General features: G+C 42.7%; 1 long non-coding RNA gene across 1 annotated transcript in view; it reads left to right on the plus strand.

The window, feature by feature from the left end:
• The window catches only part of LINC02325 (long intergenic non-protein coding RNA 2325), a 122,568-nt gene that overhangs the window by 33,599 nt on the left and 72,068 nt on the right, over positions 1-16,901 (plus strand). The gene's annotated exons all lie outside the window — the stretch shown is intronic.

The following is a 16,901-nucleotide window of genomic DNA, read 5'->3' on the forward strand; positions in this document are numbered from 1 at the left end:
CGGTTAGCATAAAATACTGGCCCTCTCCCACAAACCCAACACCAAAGAGGTCAGGAAATTAAGGAGTAAGCGAATGGACCTGAACAGTAATATAGACATTCCAAGGAACTCTGGGGAGACTGAGGGCAGTTATGCCTTAGCATGGCCCCAAGGATGCCTGCATACCACATTTAGTGGGGTGGATATAAGAAGGGAGCTTGTGTATTTTATTTTTTATTTTTTCCATATTATACTTGGAATATCTTTGCCAACCCTTTGACCTCTTTGAGACAGAAAAATAGCAAAGTCAACTCAGCCATGTTGGGGTCACTAAGGAAGTATTACCCCTGAGGGCAAGATGGAGATGGCTGAACCAGCAGTGCAGTCAGAGAGACTGGCTGCTGGGGGCTTCCAGCTTCACTTCCTTCCTTCGCTGCAAAGGATGGAGGCAGGGAGACAACCTCTTGCGGAAGAGCCATGCCTGGCTACATGGATGGAAAGCTGCTGTAAGGTGAGGCTTTGGGGTTACAAAGTAAATGGGCTGGCCAAGCCCAGACTTTGGCATAGGAGGTCTCTATTCTGGGCCACATATCTCACTCCTTCAACTCTTCAGGAGACTAGAAGCAAGGGCCTGAGAAGCACAATCACAGTAAAAGAAATGCTGCTCCTAACATGCAAGGATATTGGACGATGAAGCAGAAACAGGCAGTTACAAAGCAGAACCACGTGGAAAAACTAGGTATGAAATATGCAATACTGAATATAAAGAGTTTAAGGAGTGGAATAAAAAGCACAATGGATACAACTTAAGGATAAATTAGTGAGCTAGAAGGTCAGTTTAAAGAACTCTCTGAGAAGGCAGGAGCAGGTAGAAAGAGTTACAAAAAGCAAAAAAGTTAAAATAAATAGAGGCTAGAGGCACATCTGTTGATATAAATAAAATAGGCAGTCATAGAAGGAGAGAAAAAATAAGGAGAGGAAGTATTTGAAAAGCAAATAATAATAGAATAAATGAATAAAAAGAGATTCATAGCCACAGTTCTTATGGAATGCCTAATAGAATCTATAAGTAAAAAATCACTTAGACAACATAATTATATTTAAGTACATCAAAGGAAAAGAAAAAAGTGACAAGCTATCCAAGAGAACATACAGATCACCCATACAGAAATAATATTTAGATTAAAATCTTATTTCTTAATAGCAACATTGAATAGAGAATTATTTTCAAAGTGTTAAATTAAACTCACTTTTAAGTTGTAATCTTATACCAAGCTAAACTATCTCTCAACACACAGGCAATATAATGATATTTTTAAGTGAGTAAAGACTCAGAAAGTTTACTACCCCATCATGCCCTCTCTGAAAACATCCTTGAGAGAAGGGCACCTGAAGGAGGATGTTTTGAAAAATATGGATATTAAGGATGAGCACATAGATTGGTAAAATTTATTGCACTAAGTTTTACCCATGCACACACATGTCTGTGTGTGTTTAAAGTAATATCCAAAAAGAAGGAAGTAAAAAGATAATCTACAACATAAAAAATACAGTTAAAATTCTACATAATATAACGTAATACCATCAAGTTTCCTGTGGTGAGAGGAGGGAATGGGGTTAGGAATAATGTCTGGGCAACTAGCAAAAGGTGAAGACAGCCAAAACCTTTTTATTCTGGAGAAAGCTCTTGATCTAGGTTCTCTCTGGTTTGTCCACCATCACAAAGCCTGGTTTTACATCCTGGCTTCTCTATTCTATGCCTGTGCCACTTTCTGGACATTTCTCCAATCCTTGGTTTCTCATCTCCAAATCCTGGATAATGAGGCCAGCCATGATAGGTTATTCATGGAACTTTGATATAGAGCCTGGCTCCCACTGGATGACAGCCCTAGGTACTGTACAGATGTTAGCCCTCTTTGTCACAACCCAGAAAAGTATCCTTTTTGACAGTAAAAATGTAGCTTATGTGTCATCCTCTTTCCCAGACCTTGGCACAAGGTATGCAGCAGTAGGACACTCTTCTCATCTTTGGAGGCTGAAGTAGCTTAGAGGTATAAAGGGGTAAGTCAGATCTGAAAATCCAGTTTATTTCATTCAATTTTGCAAATACAATTTACAAACTTGCCTTTTCAACCAAATATGTGTATATGGCTGAAGAAATCGGGGCTCCTGCAGTGCCATTAATTGCCCAGTTTGTTTCTTGGGAGTAGAGCATGGGCACTAACACATGTTCATTAGACGTCTTAATTGGAAGCAAAAATCACCATGGACACCATGGACACGATTTAAAAAGAGTAAAGCATGCTGGTCAGTTTTCATTTGGATTTTGTTTTATTTCATTTTATTCCCAATTCTCCCAAAGCCCAGGAACAGCAGTTCACGATAAAAAATAATGGCCTGAGAAATGTCCTTCTGTAACATCCCCACAGCTGTGTGAGTTTGCATAACTCGAATGTGCCTAGTGGGACCCATTTTGTTCTCTGGCCCTGCTGAGAGTGAGTTGGGGTGCCTACATGTGAGTGGCTTGGATCCCCACAACTGCTACCCTGGCACAGCCCAGAAGATGGTCTTAAGAGAACAATATCTTCCCTTTTGCTTCTCTGCTTTATTGCACTTGTTCAAGTGACAGCATTCCAGAGTTCCCATCCTCTTGTCTGGATGTCCTGCCAGGGGGCCCTTGAAAAAGTCTTTATATCTCCAAAGATAATAGAGCAACTTGCCACTGCCACTTGTCTTTCTACCCCCGCCGTGTAGATTTCCCCTGGATCCTGGAATGACAAAAGGTTCCAAACGTGATAAAGGACTTCAATGGGATTGGACACGAAGAGGTGTGCGGCAAGCCCTCCTATCTCTTGGCACTTTTCTCTTTATTCTTTGATTAAAGTCTTTTCCCTTACTTACATCCCCCATTAAGATGTCTCAGTGTCATTTAGGGTGTTAATTGAGAGGAGGTTTAAGCTCATCAAAGCGATTATAAGTGATAGTTAAAAATTTCTATATATGGCCTGTGCTGGAATCGGCACGGTGGGGTGCCATTTTTTCTTTTATCCAACTGACATTGGTAATAATAGATGAAATTATTACTAAATCGCAGCTGCAGAGATGATATCATGATTTTTTGTGTGTAATCTTTGATGAAAAATTAATTTTTGAGAGGGATAATTTAAAATGATTTAAATAGTATTATACTGAAGTCCTTGCTGGTAATTAACACCAATCTTGTCAGAAGGGAAACCACTTTTGCAGCTGTTTCTAAAGATACCTACAGTATTTGTAACTTTTCTGCGAGTAAAATTATAGTGTTTGGACTTTATTTTTACTGCACAAGGACCATTAGAAGAAAAGGCGTCAGATAGAAACCTTTGTTCTCTGAGACCTGAGTCCTGTTTTGTATTTGAAGGCCCTGATCAATGCCTGTTTAATCATCGCTAGACTATGGACCAGAGTAAGGCTGGGTCTTTATTTTTATTTTTTCAATATATAAAAGTATTCATAGTGGATGCTGCATACATACCTCTCTTTAGTTCTTAATTATTAGTTACGTAAGAGCATACTACTTGATGTGCACAGGATTTAATTAACAGAACAGATGGCTGCTGGTCAGAATATTCCTTCATCTTCATCAGTGCCTTGACTTTCTTCAAAATCCACTTCTTTCATCATGGTGGCAAAAGCTTTCTAACATGGAACAGCTGAAAATAGATTTTTCTTCACTAGTTTCTTCATACTTTAAATGACAGAAGTGAGAGAGTGAGGGGTGTGTGTGTGTGTGTGTGTGTGTATTGTGTCCTACGTATAAAGACCAGCAAGAGAATAAAAAAAGAAATATAGTGAAATTTAAATAGCAAAAAAAAAAAAAAAAAATTGAATGAGAAAGTGGGATAACTGCACAGTCTTCTGAGTCCTGAGTTTTGCTTTCTTCTTTTTTAACAGGCACGGTGATTTTTCTGACAAGATATATGGCACTAGATATCCACGGCAATCTCAGTATCTGCCACCTTGTGATTTCTTTCCCCCTCAACTTTGTGCTGAGAATGGGAGAAAAGGAATGAGTAAAGGGAAAAATGGGAGAAAGGAGGAAGGGAAGGAGGGAGGGGTGAGAGATGGCAGGAGGTCTTGAAAATTGTTATGCAGGGTGTCTGTTCATTAAAATAGGAGCTACGGCCTCAGCTCCTGCCGTGGGTGCAATTTTATTTCACCAGGATGCAATTGTCACTCTATATGTTTCCATCAAGAAAAGAAAGACAGAAACATGTTTTTTTTTGTTGTTGTTGTTTTCTTAAAGTCCCTTTTGCAAGCAGAAAAGACAGTTTATTGGTGGAGGCGTGGCATGCATGCCTGTGAAGTTTGCAATATGGAGATGCCGGCAGGTAAGATTGTGTTTCTCATGGCAATGTAAGAAGGTGGAGGGCCCTCGGCAGGCCCGTGGGAAAGTGCATCAGCCACAAGGCCTTAGGGGACCCCTGAGAGGAGGAGACCTCTGGGAATGAAGAGCTTTACCCCTGCAGGGTGAGAAGTGGGTCGGGCAAAGAAACCAGGCTGCCATTTTGCAGCTGTTAAGCCTAAATCATATCTCTTGTTTCAAGTTGACTCTTTCTGAGTGCTTCCGTGTGCCAAGCACATTGCAGGTATTAGGAACTGAATCTTCCTATAAAATCCAGGAGGTGGGGGGCATCATCATGCTGCCATAAATGACAACAGAGGCATGGTGAGGTAAGCGGCCTGCCTAAATCACACAGTGTGGCTCCCGGTCAAAGAGGAGAGTGAGGGATGGGGGATGTCAGGGCTAGGACTTTAGAAGGTACACAGTGAATGTTGGTGAAAAAAGTGGGTGAATTTACTTCCCTTCTCACAGCCCTATGAATACCCAAACTCCTCTCTCCTTCAATCCTCCCAAACTCCTCTAACCTTCAATCACCTCTGATTCTAAAACCCATAGATTTTAGGATTAGAAATGCAAGCTCTTAATATTCTTCAAGACCATGCTCTGATGTTATCAGCTTCTACCATAGAATCAGGAGCCCTTTCCTCTGAAAATATGTCCATGCTTATGGTAACCCTTACCCGATTTTATTTTACTTATTTGTTTTTAGGTTTGTCTTTCCTGCTAGACTATTAAGTTTCCTGACGGCAGAGACCAAGAATGTATTCACTTATGCATTTATTGCTTTCATTTCTCATTCATTCATTCATTCAACAAATACTTCCTAAGGACTTACTGTGCACTGGGTTTGGCACTGAGGATGATACAAAGATAGAAGATGCAGCCTCTGCTTTCCAATTGCTTACAGCCTGGTGGGAAACAGACTAGTGGCATAACTGAATGAATGACTTCCTGAATGAATGACAACAATATAAAATCTGATATACTTTAGAGGGAAGATTGGCCAACTTTCTATCTAAAGGACCAGATAGTAAATATTTTAGGCCTTGCAGGCCATACAGAGTCCATGGCAACTGCTCAATTTTGCCATTGTAGTACAAAAACATCCTCAGATAGCACGCAATATGAATAGGGGTGACAATTTCGATACAGCTTTATTTACAAAAACAGGCAGTAGCCCAGGCCTGAAAACCACAGTCCCCTGGGCTTGGCATAGACTTAATCCAATTGAAGATCAAGATAAATATTATTCCCCAGTCCATCTGCAGGAGCTGCAGCAAAGGTCAGAGGGAGTTGGTTGGGGGTTGGTTGCCCTAAGATCGTCATATGACTAAGGGGCAGGTAGACCTATTTGTCACTGAGTACTTGGAAGGGAAGAAATGGTGTGGATTGATGCAAAGGAATTTCACCTGTTCACAGACTTCAGTTCTTTGCTCTCCCTGGGCTCAGACAGTCCTGAGAAAACTTGCAGGAAGGCTCATTCATTTGGCAAGGCCAGAGGGCGAGGCAGGCGTGGGTAGGGAGTGCCGAGCCAGACCAGCCAGCAAGCCCAGATCCTGCGTGTCTATCAATGTCCCTGTGAGAGCATGCCATTAGGCTGCAGTAAAAACCTGGGGATGCATCATGCCCTTGTCTGCTCCCAACACACCCTTCCTTTTGCTGGCACGTTTCCAGAGGAGGATCCAGCATCTTGAAGCCTGGACGAGTTTGGTCAGTCTCGGCTGGGTGGTCAGGGCTCTCACTGAAGGGGTCGTAGCCTGCTTCTCCATCACTGTTCTCTATCTACTTGGTCATTGTCCCCACATGCATGTCCACACTTTTAGGACTCCAGATGGGGCAAAGGGACATTGTGTGCTACAATGTGGGACATCCATGGGCCTGGAAAAAGGCTGACCCATTTTAATGAGTACAGGTATTCCAGATGCAGAAGCAGGTGCCTTCACTTCCTTCACAGTCCTAGGTACTGTGTCTCCATTCCACAGAGGAGGCTAATGAGAGTCAGAGGTAAGACAGTGTGCCGAATGTCTAGGTAATCCACATGCTGTGACTACAAAGTTGATACATACCCAGAGTCAGCGACCATTAATGTCCATTCCAGCAGGTACAGCTTAACCACGTTTCAGGTCTCTGTTCAAAGATCACCTCTTTCCTGAAGCCCTCACCAATTGTCTCCATATGCCCACACTTCTTCTCATCTGAGTGCCCAAATGACTGTCTGTACCTCTCATGTGTGCGCAGTCATCATCTATCTTGTGTTCCAGGTAGTCGTGTATGAGCCACCTCTCAAACAGGCTGTGAGTGATCCAGGTGCAGGGGACCTGCTGGAGTGAAGCTTTTGGCATGATGTAAGCATCCAATGTGCGCGTGTAGAATTAAGTGAATAGAAGAAGAAATGAATTAGATAAATATAAAGACCAAGTAGATAATGGTCTCCAAGTCCCCAAGTATCCCCTTCTCCTGTAAAAAGAAACTGATTCCATTTAGAAGAAGAAGGAAGAAGGCTCATAACAGGATGAATCAGATGGGGATGTGGGGCTTGAAGGAAGCAATGACACAACTGGGTTCGAATCCCACTCGGGCCCCGGCCAGTGGCATGTGTGTGAGCATGGGTGTTCTCCCAATCTCCCTAAATTCTCTTTCTTCATATCCTTGTCACCTGGGATGTTTGGAGGGATGCTGTGCCAACAAAATTAGCCTGATGAACATAAGTGCTGGTCTGATAAATAATCAATAATTCATGGGATTCTGGGTTTGTCTTGGTGGCTTGTGGATCTTAGACTGCAAGCTCCATGACAGTAGGAAACGTGCACACTTTGCTCATTTCTACATTCCAGAACCCAGCAGAGTTCCCAGCACTTATAAAGTAGGGCTAAGTAGATACTTATCTTGAATAAAGGAATGAATAAGCTGCTTGTTTGTACTTTTCAGAGTCATGGCCTGCCTCGATGAGGACTTGGTTGGGTGTTCATCCCACCTGCATCCTAGGCAGGCTATATGGTCTCTTGCTGCCCAGCCTGGCCCCCTAAGGTGGGAGGGTCACAGAGGCAACCCTAGGAGAGTGGTGGGCTGAGCCTGTGCAACTCCTGCCTCCCTGAGAGGCCCTCCCCAGACTGTGGGAACACTGCTGAGGACCTCAGGGAAGGCATCCTGGAATGGTGGCTGTCTCAGGCTGACTGCCTGAGGGCCAGGGCTCTGCCAACTCTCATGTCAGACTTGCCTACACAGGCTGGCACCTTCCAGAGCTAACACTGAGCCCATCTTCCTCAGGGCTCGCACAGGGCACCTTATCCTCTTGATTGGCTGGGTCTTGCACCTTTTAAGAGGGCAGATTTTGAGCATGTTCTCTACCACACCCTTTTCCACCCCCTTCGTGCATGGGGAATGAGCTGATAGAGGCCTCCCTTTGATGGAACTCGGGTGGGAATCAGATGGGAACTGAGCCCAAGGAGATTAGGCCCCAACAGGGTGGATTAATCATTCCAGCCATCACCCTAGCAAGGGCAGCATGACTCACAGTGAGCAAACCATATTGCCGATGGCAAATTGGAGGACCTTTGTCGCTACAGGACCAAATCTCCCTACTCTTACACACGAGATGTGTGTGCTCTTTGGTCTTGGAATTTGTTTACCACCTTTCCAGCTGGAGCAATACTGGGCAAGGAGCAGGCATCCTGTGAATTTACTGAATGAATCTGCAACTATGTTTTGGGTTTGATTTTAAGATTATGCACACTTGTGGACCTATCGCAAACAGACTAAGAACTGAGCCTAATGACATAAATTTTCCATCACTACTCAAAGTCATAAAGTACTAACTGATTGAGAAACATTCCTTATGGGCTCACTAGCTGAGTTTCTTGACCTTGGCACTATGGAAATTTAGGGCTTGTCTAAGTCTATTTGGGCTATTATAACAAATATACATCTTGTTTGGATGGCAAGAAAAAACATTTCTTGCTCACAGTTCTGGAGGTTGAGAAGTCCAAGATCAATGTGCTGGCAAATCTGGTGTTTAGTGAGGGCTGGCTTCCTGGTATGCAGACATAGGAGAAGGGGGGGTGGGTGGGGGGAGAGACAGAGAGAGAGAACGATTTTATGTCTCTTCTTATAAAGGCACTAATGCCATTCATGAGGGTTCCACCCTCTCAACCTAATTACCTTCCAAAGGTCCCACTGGCTAATACCATCACATTGAGGGGTTAGGGGTTTAACATATGGATTTGGGGGCACACAAACTTTCAATCTGCAAAATTCATCAGCATCCCTAGTTTCTACCCACTAGATTCCAGTAGTACCATCTTCACCTTCCCACTTGTGATAATCAAAAATGTCTCCAGAAATATCTTATAAAATGTCCCTTGGAGGGCAAAATATTGAGAAGCACTCCTCTGGGAAAGGTTTCTGAACTCCTCAAGAAAGAGGCACTAATTTTGCACCCTGTATCTTTTGGAATGTGTCATGTCCTACCAGGTCTCGAACTTTCCTTAGGGCTGAGATGGATACTCAATGGAATCAGTCCATCTTGTCCCTAAATTGAGACACATAGATTTAAGAGACAGAATACATCCTCTCTCACCCCTGAACACCAACCCCTCCAGCCATTGTTTCTGCATGTATTGCCCTTCAAATTTTTCTCTTTGCTGCCTCTCTGAATCCTTGTCTGTGGAAGTCCTGCTAATTCACTAAGGTCCAGCTTCAATCTCATCTCTTACATCAGATAGTTACCAATCCTGGTGAAATGTGCTTTGCTATGATCTGGATGTCTGTGTGCCTCCAAATTTATATGTTGAAACTTTAATCTCCAAGGTGATAGTTTTAGGAGGTGGGCCTTTTATGTCATGCAGCAATGCCCTCATAAATAAGATTAGTGCCTTTATAAAAGAGCCCCTAGAGACCTGCCTTGCCCCTTCAACCACATGAGTGCTTCATGAGAAATCATCATCTATGATCCAGGAAATGGCCCCTCATTAGACACCAAATCCGTTGTCACCTTGATCTTGGGCTTCCAAGCCCCTAGAGCTGTGAGAAATAAATTTTTGTTGCTTATAAGCTATTGTTTATGGCATTTTGTTAAAGAAAGCCAAATAGAGTAAGACAAAAACTGGTACTGAGAAATGGGTAAGCTGCTGTAACCAATACCTAAAAATAGATAATTGCCTTTGGAATTAAAAGAGTTGTGAAGTGCCTACTAAAAAAAGCCTACATTCTTAAGAACAGACTATTAAGGATGATCCTGGTGAGTGCTCAAAAGGAGAAGAGAAGAGCTTTAGAGAAAGCCTCAAGCTTCTTAGAGAATACCTAAGTGGTGGTTAACAGAATGGTGGTAGAAACATAGATGGTACAGATCGTTCTGATTAGGTCTCAGACCAAAAGGAGGAAAACATTATTGGACAATAGAGAAAATCATCCTTGTGAAAAAGTGGCAAAGAAATTGGCTGTATTATATTTGCATCTTAGTGTTTTGTGGAAGATAGAATTTGTGAACAATAAATTTGGAAATTTGGCAAAAGAAATTTCTAAGCAAAATGTTGAAGGTGTGACATGGCTTCTCTTGACTGCTTATCCTAAGATGTGAGAAGGTAGAAACAACTTAAAAATAACATTTTTAATCAAAAGAGAAGTACAACTTAAAGGTTTGAAAAATTATCAGTCTGTCCCCATTGTAAAATTAAGAAAGCATGCTCTGGAGAGGACACCAAGGATGTGTCCAGGTGACCATTTGATAAGAAGATTAGTATGAATCAGCTAGGTGCTATTCATTAAGAAAATGGAAAAATGACATGAAGGCATTTTGTCGATTATTGTTGCTGCTTTTACTAACACAAGCCTAAAGTGCAAAGGCCTTAGAGGCAATTCGATTTAAGAGGAAGAGCCAAGGATGCCTGCAGGACATCAGCTTCCCAGGGCCACCTAAATACTTTGCTTCCTGCATTTTGGTGTAGTGCTCCTTGGATGACCCAGGTGTGGATCCAGTCAGCCCAGGTGTGGTACAGGCCACTGTGGCTGCCTCACCCGAGGGTACAGGCAGTAAACCTTGGAGGCAAACCTTGGCAATGTCCATGTTTTGCCATATTCATCAGTGTATAGAGTGCATGAGCTGCAGGGGTACGGCTACCTCCACTTAAATTTTAAAGAATGAAGCTGCCTAGAGCCTGGGGCACATGACCCAGGCATAGGACCATTGCAGAGACAGAGTCACTAAAGGGTCCCCACCAGGGCAGTGCCTAATAGAGATCTGGGGTGTAGCTGTCCCAGGACTCTAGACCAGTGGAGCTACTTGTCTGTGATTCTAGACTGTGGGAGCCACAAGCATGTGACTTCAACACATGAGAACTGCAGCATGGGCTATACTCAGCAAAACTGTTGGGGTGAGGTACACTAAAGCCATGGGAGCAGGACCACCAGGAGTGTTGGGGACCCAACCCCTGCCTTAATGTTCCTGGAAGGTGGGAACTCTGACCAGCGGGCCTGAAGGGCAGAGCGTTGAGTCAAAGAAGATTATTCTGGAGGCTTAAGATTTAATGCTGTTTGCCCTGTTGGGTTTTGAAATCTTTGTGGAAACTGTAGTCCCTTTCTTCTTTCCTGTTTCTCTGTTTTGGAATGGAAATGTCTATCTTATTCCTGTTCCACTATTGGAGTTTGGAAGCACATAACTTATTTGATTTCACAGGTTCACAGCTGGAGAGCAATTTGCCTCAGGATAAATTCTACCTTGAGTCTCATCCATATCTAATTTAGATAATATTTAGATGAGACGCTGGAATTAGGCTTTACAGTTGATACTGGAATGAGTTAAAAATTTTGAGGCCATTGGGAGGGAATAATGTATTTTGCCTATGAGAAGGACATAAATTTGAGTGGGGGGCTGGGGCAGAATGCTATGATCTGAATACTTGTGTTCCCCCAAAATTTATATGTTGCAATTCTACCCCAAAGTGGGACCTTTATGGAGATGATTTAAATATAGGCCTCTGTTTCACTAAAACGTATGTCAGTATGATTAAAAAAATGCTATGTATCTCATAGAATGTGATTCTGCCCTCATGAACGAAATTTGTGTCCTTATAAATATGCCCAAGGGACCTGGTTTATCCCTTTCACCATGTGAGGACAGAGCAAGAAGGTGGCCACTGCAACTCAGGAAAGGCAGTCTCATCAGACCTTGAATCTGCAGGTGCCTTGATCTTGGACTTCTCAACCTCCCGAACCATAAGAAATTAATTTCTGTAGTTTATAAGCTCCCCAGTTTATGATATTTTGTTATAGTAGCCCAAATGGACTAAAACATTACCTCTTCTGTATTCTCTAGTTGTCTTAAAAAATTCATTTTACCATTGATCTCAGTCTCTGTTCTAGCAGTTCTTATTGAATATGAGACAAGAATTTTTGTATTGAGATTCAGCATGTCATATTTATTAAACTTATGAACCATGGAGGTGAACTGCTCTGAGCATAAGTTCCCTCTTCAGAATTTATGACATGTGCAACTCTGAGAACATTGTTTAAACTCTCTAAGCCTCAGTTTACTCACATGTAAAATGAAAGCTCATAAGAATAAATACCAACTTCACATGCTTTTGTCCCTTAAAGAGATGGTATGTGGACATTGTTTAGTTGATATTCACTATCATTAAGACATAGCTGCCTGTTATAGTAGATTATGAAACCCTGGAGATCAAGGGATTTGTATTAGTCTAGCATAGTGTCTGGCACATAGTAGGTATCCAATAATATGTATAAAATTGAATTACAAATCTTTCTCAGGTTTAAATATTAGGTTGGTGCAAAAATCATTATAACTAGGCTCAAATACATCTTTATTAATCAAAGTAAGAACCTTACAATCAACACATTTTTGCCAATGAGAAATAAGTTTGTTTACTCCTGTAGGGTAAAAATCTGAGCTTCAGGATTCAATGAACTCTTGGAAAGCATTTTCTGCATCCTGCTGGTTGTGGAAATGTTTTCCCTGCAAAAAGTTTTCAAGATATTCGAAGTAGTGGTAGTCAGTTGCTGGGAGGCCAGGTGAACATGGCAGATGAGGCAAAATTTTGTAGCCCAATTTGTTCAACTTTTGAAACTTTGTGCAATGTGCCATTGGGTGTTGTCGTGGAGAAGAATTGGGTCCTTTCTGTTGACCAAAGCTGGCTGCAGGCATTGCAGTTTTTGATGCATCTCATCAATTTGCTGAGCATACTTCTCAGATGTAATGGTTTTGCTGGGATTCAGAAAACTGCAGTGGATCAGACCAGCAGCAGACCACCAAATAGTGACCATGACCTGTTTTTGGTGCAAGTTTGGCTTTGAGAAGTGCTTTGGAGCTTCTTCTCAGTCCAACCACTGAGCTGGTCATTGCTGGTTGTCATATAAAATCCACTTTTTGTCATATGTCAATCTGATCCAGAAATTGTTCGTTGTTGCATAGAAAAAGAGAAGATGACACTTCAAAACAATGACTTTCTTTTTAAATTTTTGCTCAGCTTATGAGGCATCCTCTTATCAAGCTTTTTGCCTTTCCAATTTGCTTCAAATTACAAACGACTGTAGAATGGTCGATGTGGAGTTATTTGGCCACTTCTCACGTAGTTGTAACAAGAGGATCAGCTTTGATGATTGCTCTCAATTGGTGGTTGTCAACTTCTGATGGCCGATTGCTACATTCCTCATCTTCAAGGCTCTCTTCTCCTTTGCAAAACTTCTTGAACCACCACTGCAGTGTAAGTTCGTTAGCAGCTCCTGGGCCAAATGTGTTGTTGATGTTGCGAGTTGTCTCTGATGCTTTACAATCCATTTTGAACTTGAATAAGAAAATTGGCCAGGCATAGTGGCTCATGCCTGTAATCCCAGCACTTTGGGAGGCTGAGGTGGGCAGATCACTTGAGGCCAGAAGTTCGAGACTAGCCTGGCCAACATGGTGAAACCTCGTCTCTACTAAAAATACAAAAATTAGCCGGGCATGGGGGTGCACACCTGTAATCCCAGTTACTCGGGAGGCTGAGGTAGGAGAATCACTTGGACCCGGGAAGCAGAGGTTGCCGAAATCACACCACTGCACTCCAGCCTGGGTGACAGAGCCAGACTCAGTATCAAAAAAAAAAAAAAACAAAAAAAACTTGAATTTGCTTTTTGTCTAACATTATTCCCATAGTCTAAAATAAATATAAAATAAGGAGCAAGTAATACGTCATTAGTGAAAAAACATGAAGTGAGAAATGTCCATTAAAATGATGTATAGCATAACTACATTCATGTAAGAGTGTATTCCAATATCTAATGGCAAATTTCAACAATGCAAAAACCACAACTACTTTTGCACAATATGACCCTGTTTCGCTAACATGTTTGTAACTGGAAGGAAAATGCTACCTACCTCACAGAACCACTCTGAGAATGGATGAAATAAGGTGTATTGTGGAAACAAATCAGCGATGGCCCCCAAGCCCCCAGCCCTCTGGTGCACATTTTCTGGCTAGCTCCTCCTTTCAATTAAATTACATTTTATGGAAAAAGGAGCTTTACAGATGACACTGATATCCCTCATCACTTGTATTAAATTAATCAAGAGGGATATTATCATGGGTGGGGCTGACCTGACCAGGGGAGCCCTTGAAAGAGACAGGAAGCAGCGGCAGACACTCTCCTGTTGGTCTTGAAGAAAACAGTCACATTGTGAACTGGCCATGAAGGGGGCCTTTTGGCAGGGATCTGGGAGTGGCCTCTATGAGCTGAGTGGTTCTTTGCTGGCAGCAAGCAAGAAAACAAACAAGGACCTCAATCCTTTAGATGCAAGATACTGAATTCTACCAATAACCATGTGAACCTGGGAGAAAATCCAGCCTCAACTGAGACTTTGGCCAGCAGACTGTATTAAAATGTACCCACAGGATTTTGATTTTGGGAGGTAATTAAATGATGACATGGAGAGCCTGATGCCATTGAAAGAAGAATTTACTACTTACATTTCCCAAGAGAAGGAGGCTTGCCACACCACAAGCCAAGTGGGGAAGCACCAGATTTGGTCAGGAAGCAGAAGGAGGAGCGAGGCAAAAGCTTAGACCACAGCCTCTGTTAGGACAGTGGTAGATAGTTGTTAGATGGCAATGTCCCCTATTGGGCAGAACTCAAAACACAGATGCTGTGGTTTATGTTGAGAGGGTTGTAATACTATTTTCATTCATCTGCAAAAACTGGATCACGGGGAAGATGTAAGTAACTTTGCCCATTAATTTGATTTTATGATTTTAATGGATGCTGATACGGTTTGACTGTGTCCCCACCCAAATCTCAATTTAAATTGTATCTCCCAGAATTTTCATGTGTTGTGGGAGGGACCCAGGGGGATGTAATTGAATGATGAGGGCTGATCTTTCCTGTGCTATTCTTGTGATAGTGAATAAGTCTCATGAGATCCAATGGGTTCATCAGGGGTTTCCACTTTTGCTTCTCTCTCATTTTCTCTTGCCACTGCCATGTAAGAAGGGCCTTTCACCTCTCACCATGATTCTGAGGCCTTCCCAGCCATGTGGAACCTCTTTTTCTTCCTAGTCTCAGGTATGTCTTTATCAACTGCCTGAAAATGAACTAATACAGTAAATTGGTACCAGTAAAGTGGGGCACTGCTGAAAAGATACTCAAAAATGTGGAAGTTACTTCGGAACTGGGTAGCAGGCAGAGGTTGGAACAGTTTGGAGGGCTCAAAAGAAGACAGGAAAATGTGGAAAAGTTTAGAACCTCCTAGAGACTTGTTGAATGGCTTTCACAAAAATACTAATAGTGATATGAACAATAAGGTCCAGGCTGAGGTGGTCTCAGATGGAGATGAGGAACTTGTCGAGAACTGGAGCAAAGGTGACTCTTGTCATGTTTTAGCAAAGAGACTGGCAGCATTTTTCCCCTGCCCTAGAGATTTGAACTTGAGAGAGGTAACTTAGGGTATCTGGTGGAAGAAATTTCTAAGCAGCAAAGCATTCCAAAGGTGACGTGGGTGCTATTAAAAGCATTCTGTTTTAAAAGGGAAACAGAGCATAAAAGTTCAGAAAATTTGCAGGCTGACGATGCAGTAGAAAACAAAAACTCATTTTTTGAGGAGAAATTCAAGCCAGCTGAAGAAATTTGCATAAGTAGCAAGGAGCCTAATGTTAATCCCCAAGACAATGGGGAAAATATCTCCAGGCCGTGTCAGAGAACTTCATGGCAGTCCCTTCCATCACAGGCCCAGAGGCCCAGGAGGAAAAAGTGGTTTTGTGGGTGAGGCCCAGGGTCCCCTTCCTATGTTCAGCCTAGGGACTTGGTCCCCTGTTGTAGCCACTTCAGCTGTGGCTGAAAGGGGCCAATGTAGAGCTTGGTCTGTAGCTTCAGAGGGTGGAAGCCCCGGGCTTTGGCAGCTTCCACATGGTGTTGAGCTTGCGTGTGCACAGAAGTCAAGAATGGAGGTTTTGGAACCTCTGCCTAGATTTCAGAAGATGCATGGAAACGCCTATATGCGCAGGCAAAAGTTTGCTGCAGAGGTGGGGCCCTTATGGAGAACCTCTGCTAGGGTAGTGCAAAAGGGAAATGTGGAGTCAGAGCCCCTACACAGAGTCCCTACTGGAGCACTGCCTAGTGGAGCTGTGAGAAGAGGGCCACCATCCTCCAGACCCCAGAATGGTGGATCCACTGACAGCTTGTACCATGCACTTGGAGTAACCGCAGACACTCAACACAAGCCTGTGAAAGCAGCCAGGAGGGATGCTGTACCCCGTAAAGCCACAGGGGTGGAGCTGCCCAAGACCATGGAAACTCACCTTTTGCATCAGCATGACCTAGACGTGAGACCTGGAATAAAGGAGATCATTTTGGAACTTTAACATTTAACTGCCCTGCTAAATTTTGGATTTGCATGGGCCCTGTAACCCCTTTGTTTTGGCCAATGTCTTCCATTTGGAATGGCTATATTTACCCAATACCTGTACCCTCATTGTATCTAGGAAGTAACTAGCTTGCTTTTGATTTTACAGGCTCATAGGCAGAAGGGACTTGCCTTATCTCAGATGAGACTTTGGACTGTGGACTTTTGCTGAAATGAGTTAAGACTTTGAGGAATTTTTGGGAAGGCATGAGTGGTTTTTAAACGCAAGAACATGAGATTTGGAGGAGCCGGGGGTGGAATGATATGGTTTGGCTGTGTCCCCACCCAAATCTCAACTTGAATTTTATCTCTCAGAATTCCCACGTGTTGTGGGAGGGATCCAGGGGGAAGCAATTGAATCTTGAGGGCTGGTTTTTCCTGTGCTATTCTCATTATAGTGAATAAGTCTCATGAGATCTGATGGATTTATCAGGGGTTTCCACTTTTGCTTCTCTCTCATTTTCTCTTGCCGCCACCATGTAAGAAGTGCCTTTCACCTCCTGCTATGATTCTGGGGCCTCTCCAGCCATGCAGAACTCTAAGTCCAATTAAACTTCTTTTTCTTCCCAGTCTTGAGTATGTCTTTATCAGCTGTGTGAAAATGGACTAATATAGATGCCAAATAAACATACTATTTATGGCAACAGAAAA

The sequence above is a fragment of the Homo sapiens genome, chromosome 14, assembly GCF_000001405.40.
Source record: "Homo sapiens chromosome 14, GRCh38.p14 Primary Assembly".
Classification (NCBI taxonomy): domain Eukaryota; kingdom Metazoa; phylum Chordata; class Mammalia; order Primates; family Hominidae; genus Homo; species Homo sapiens.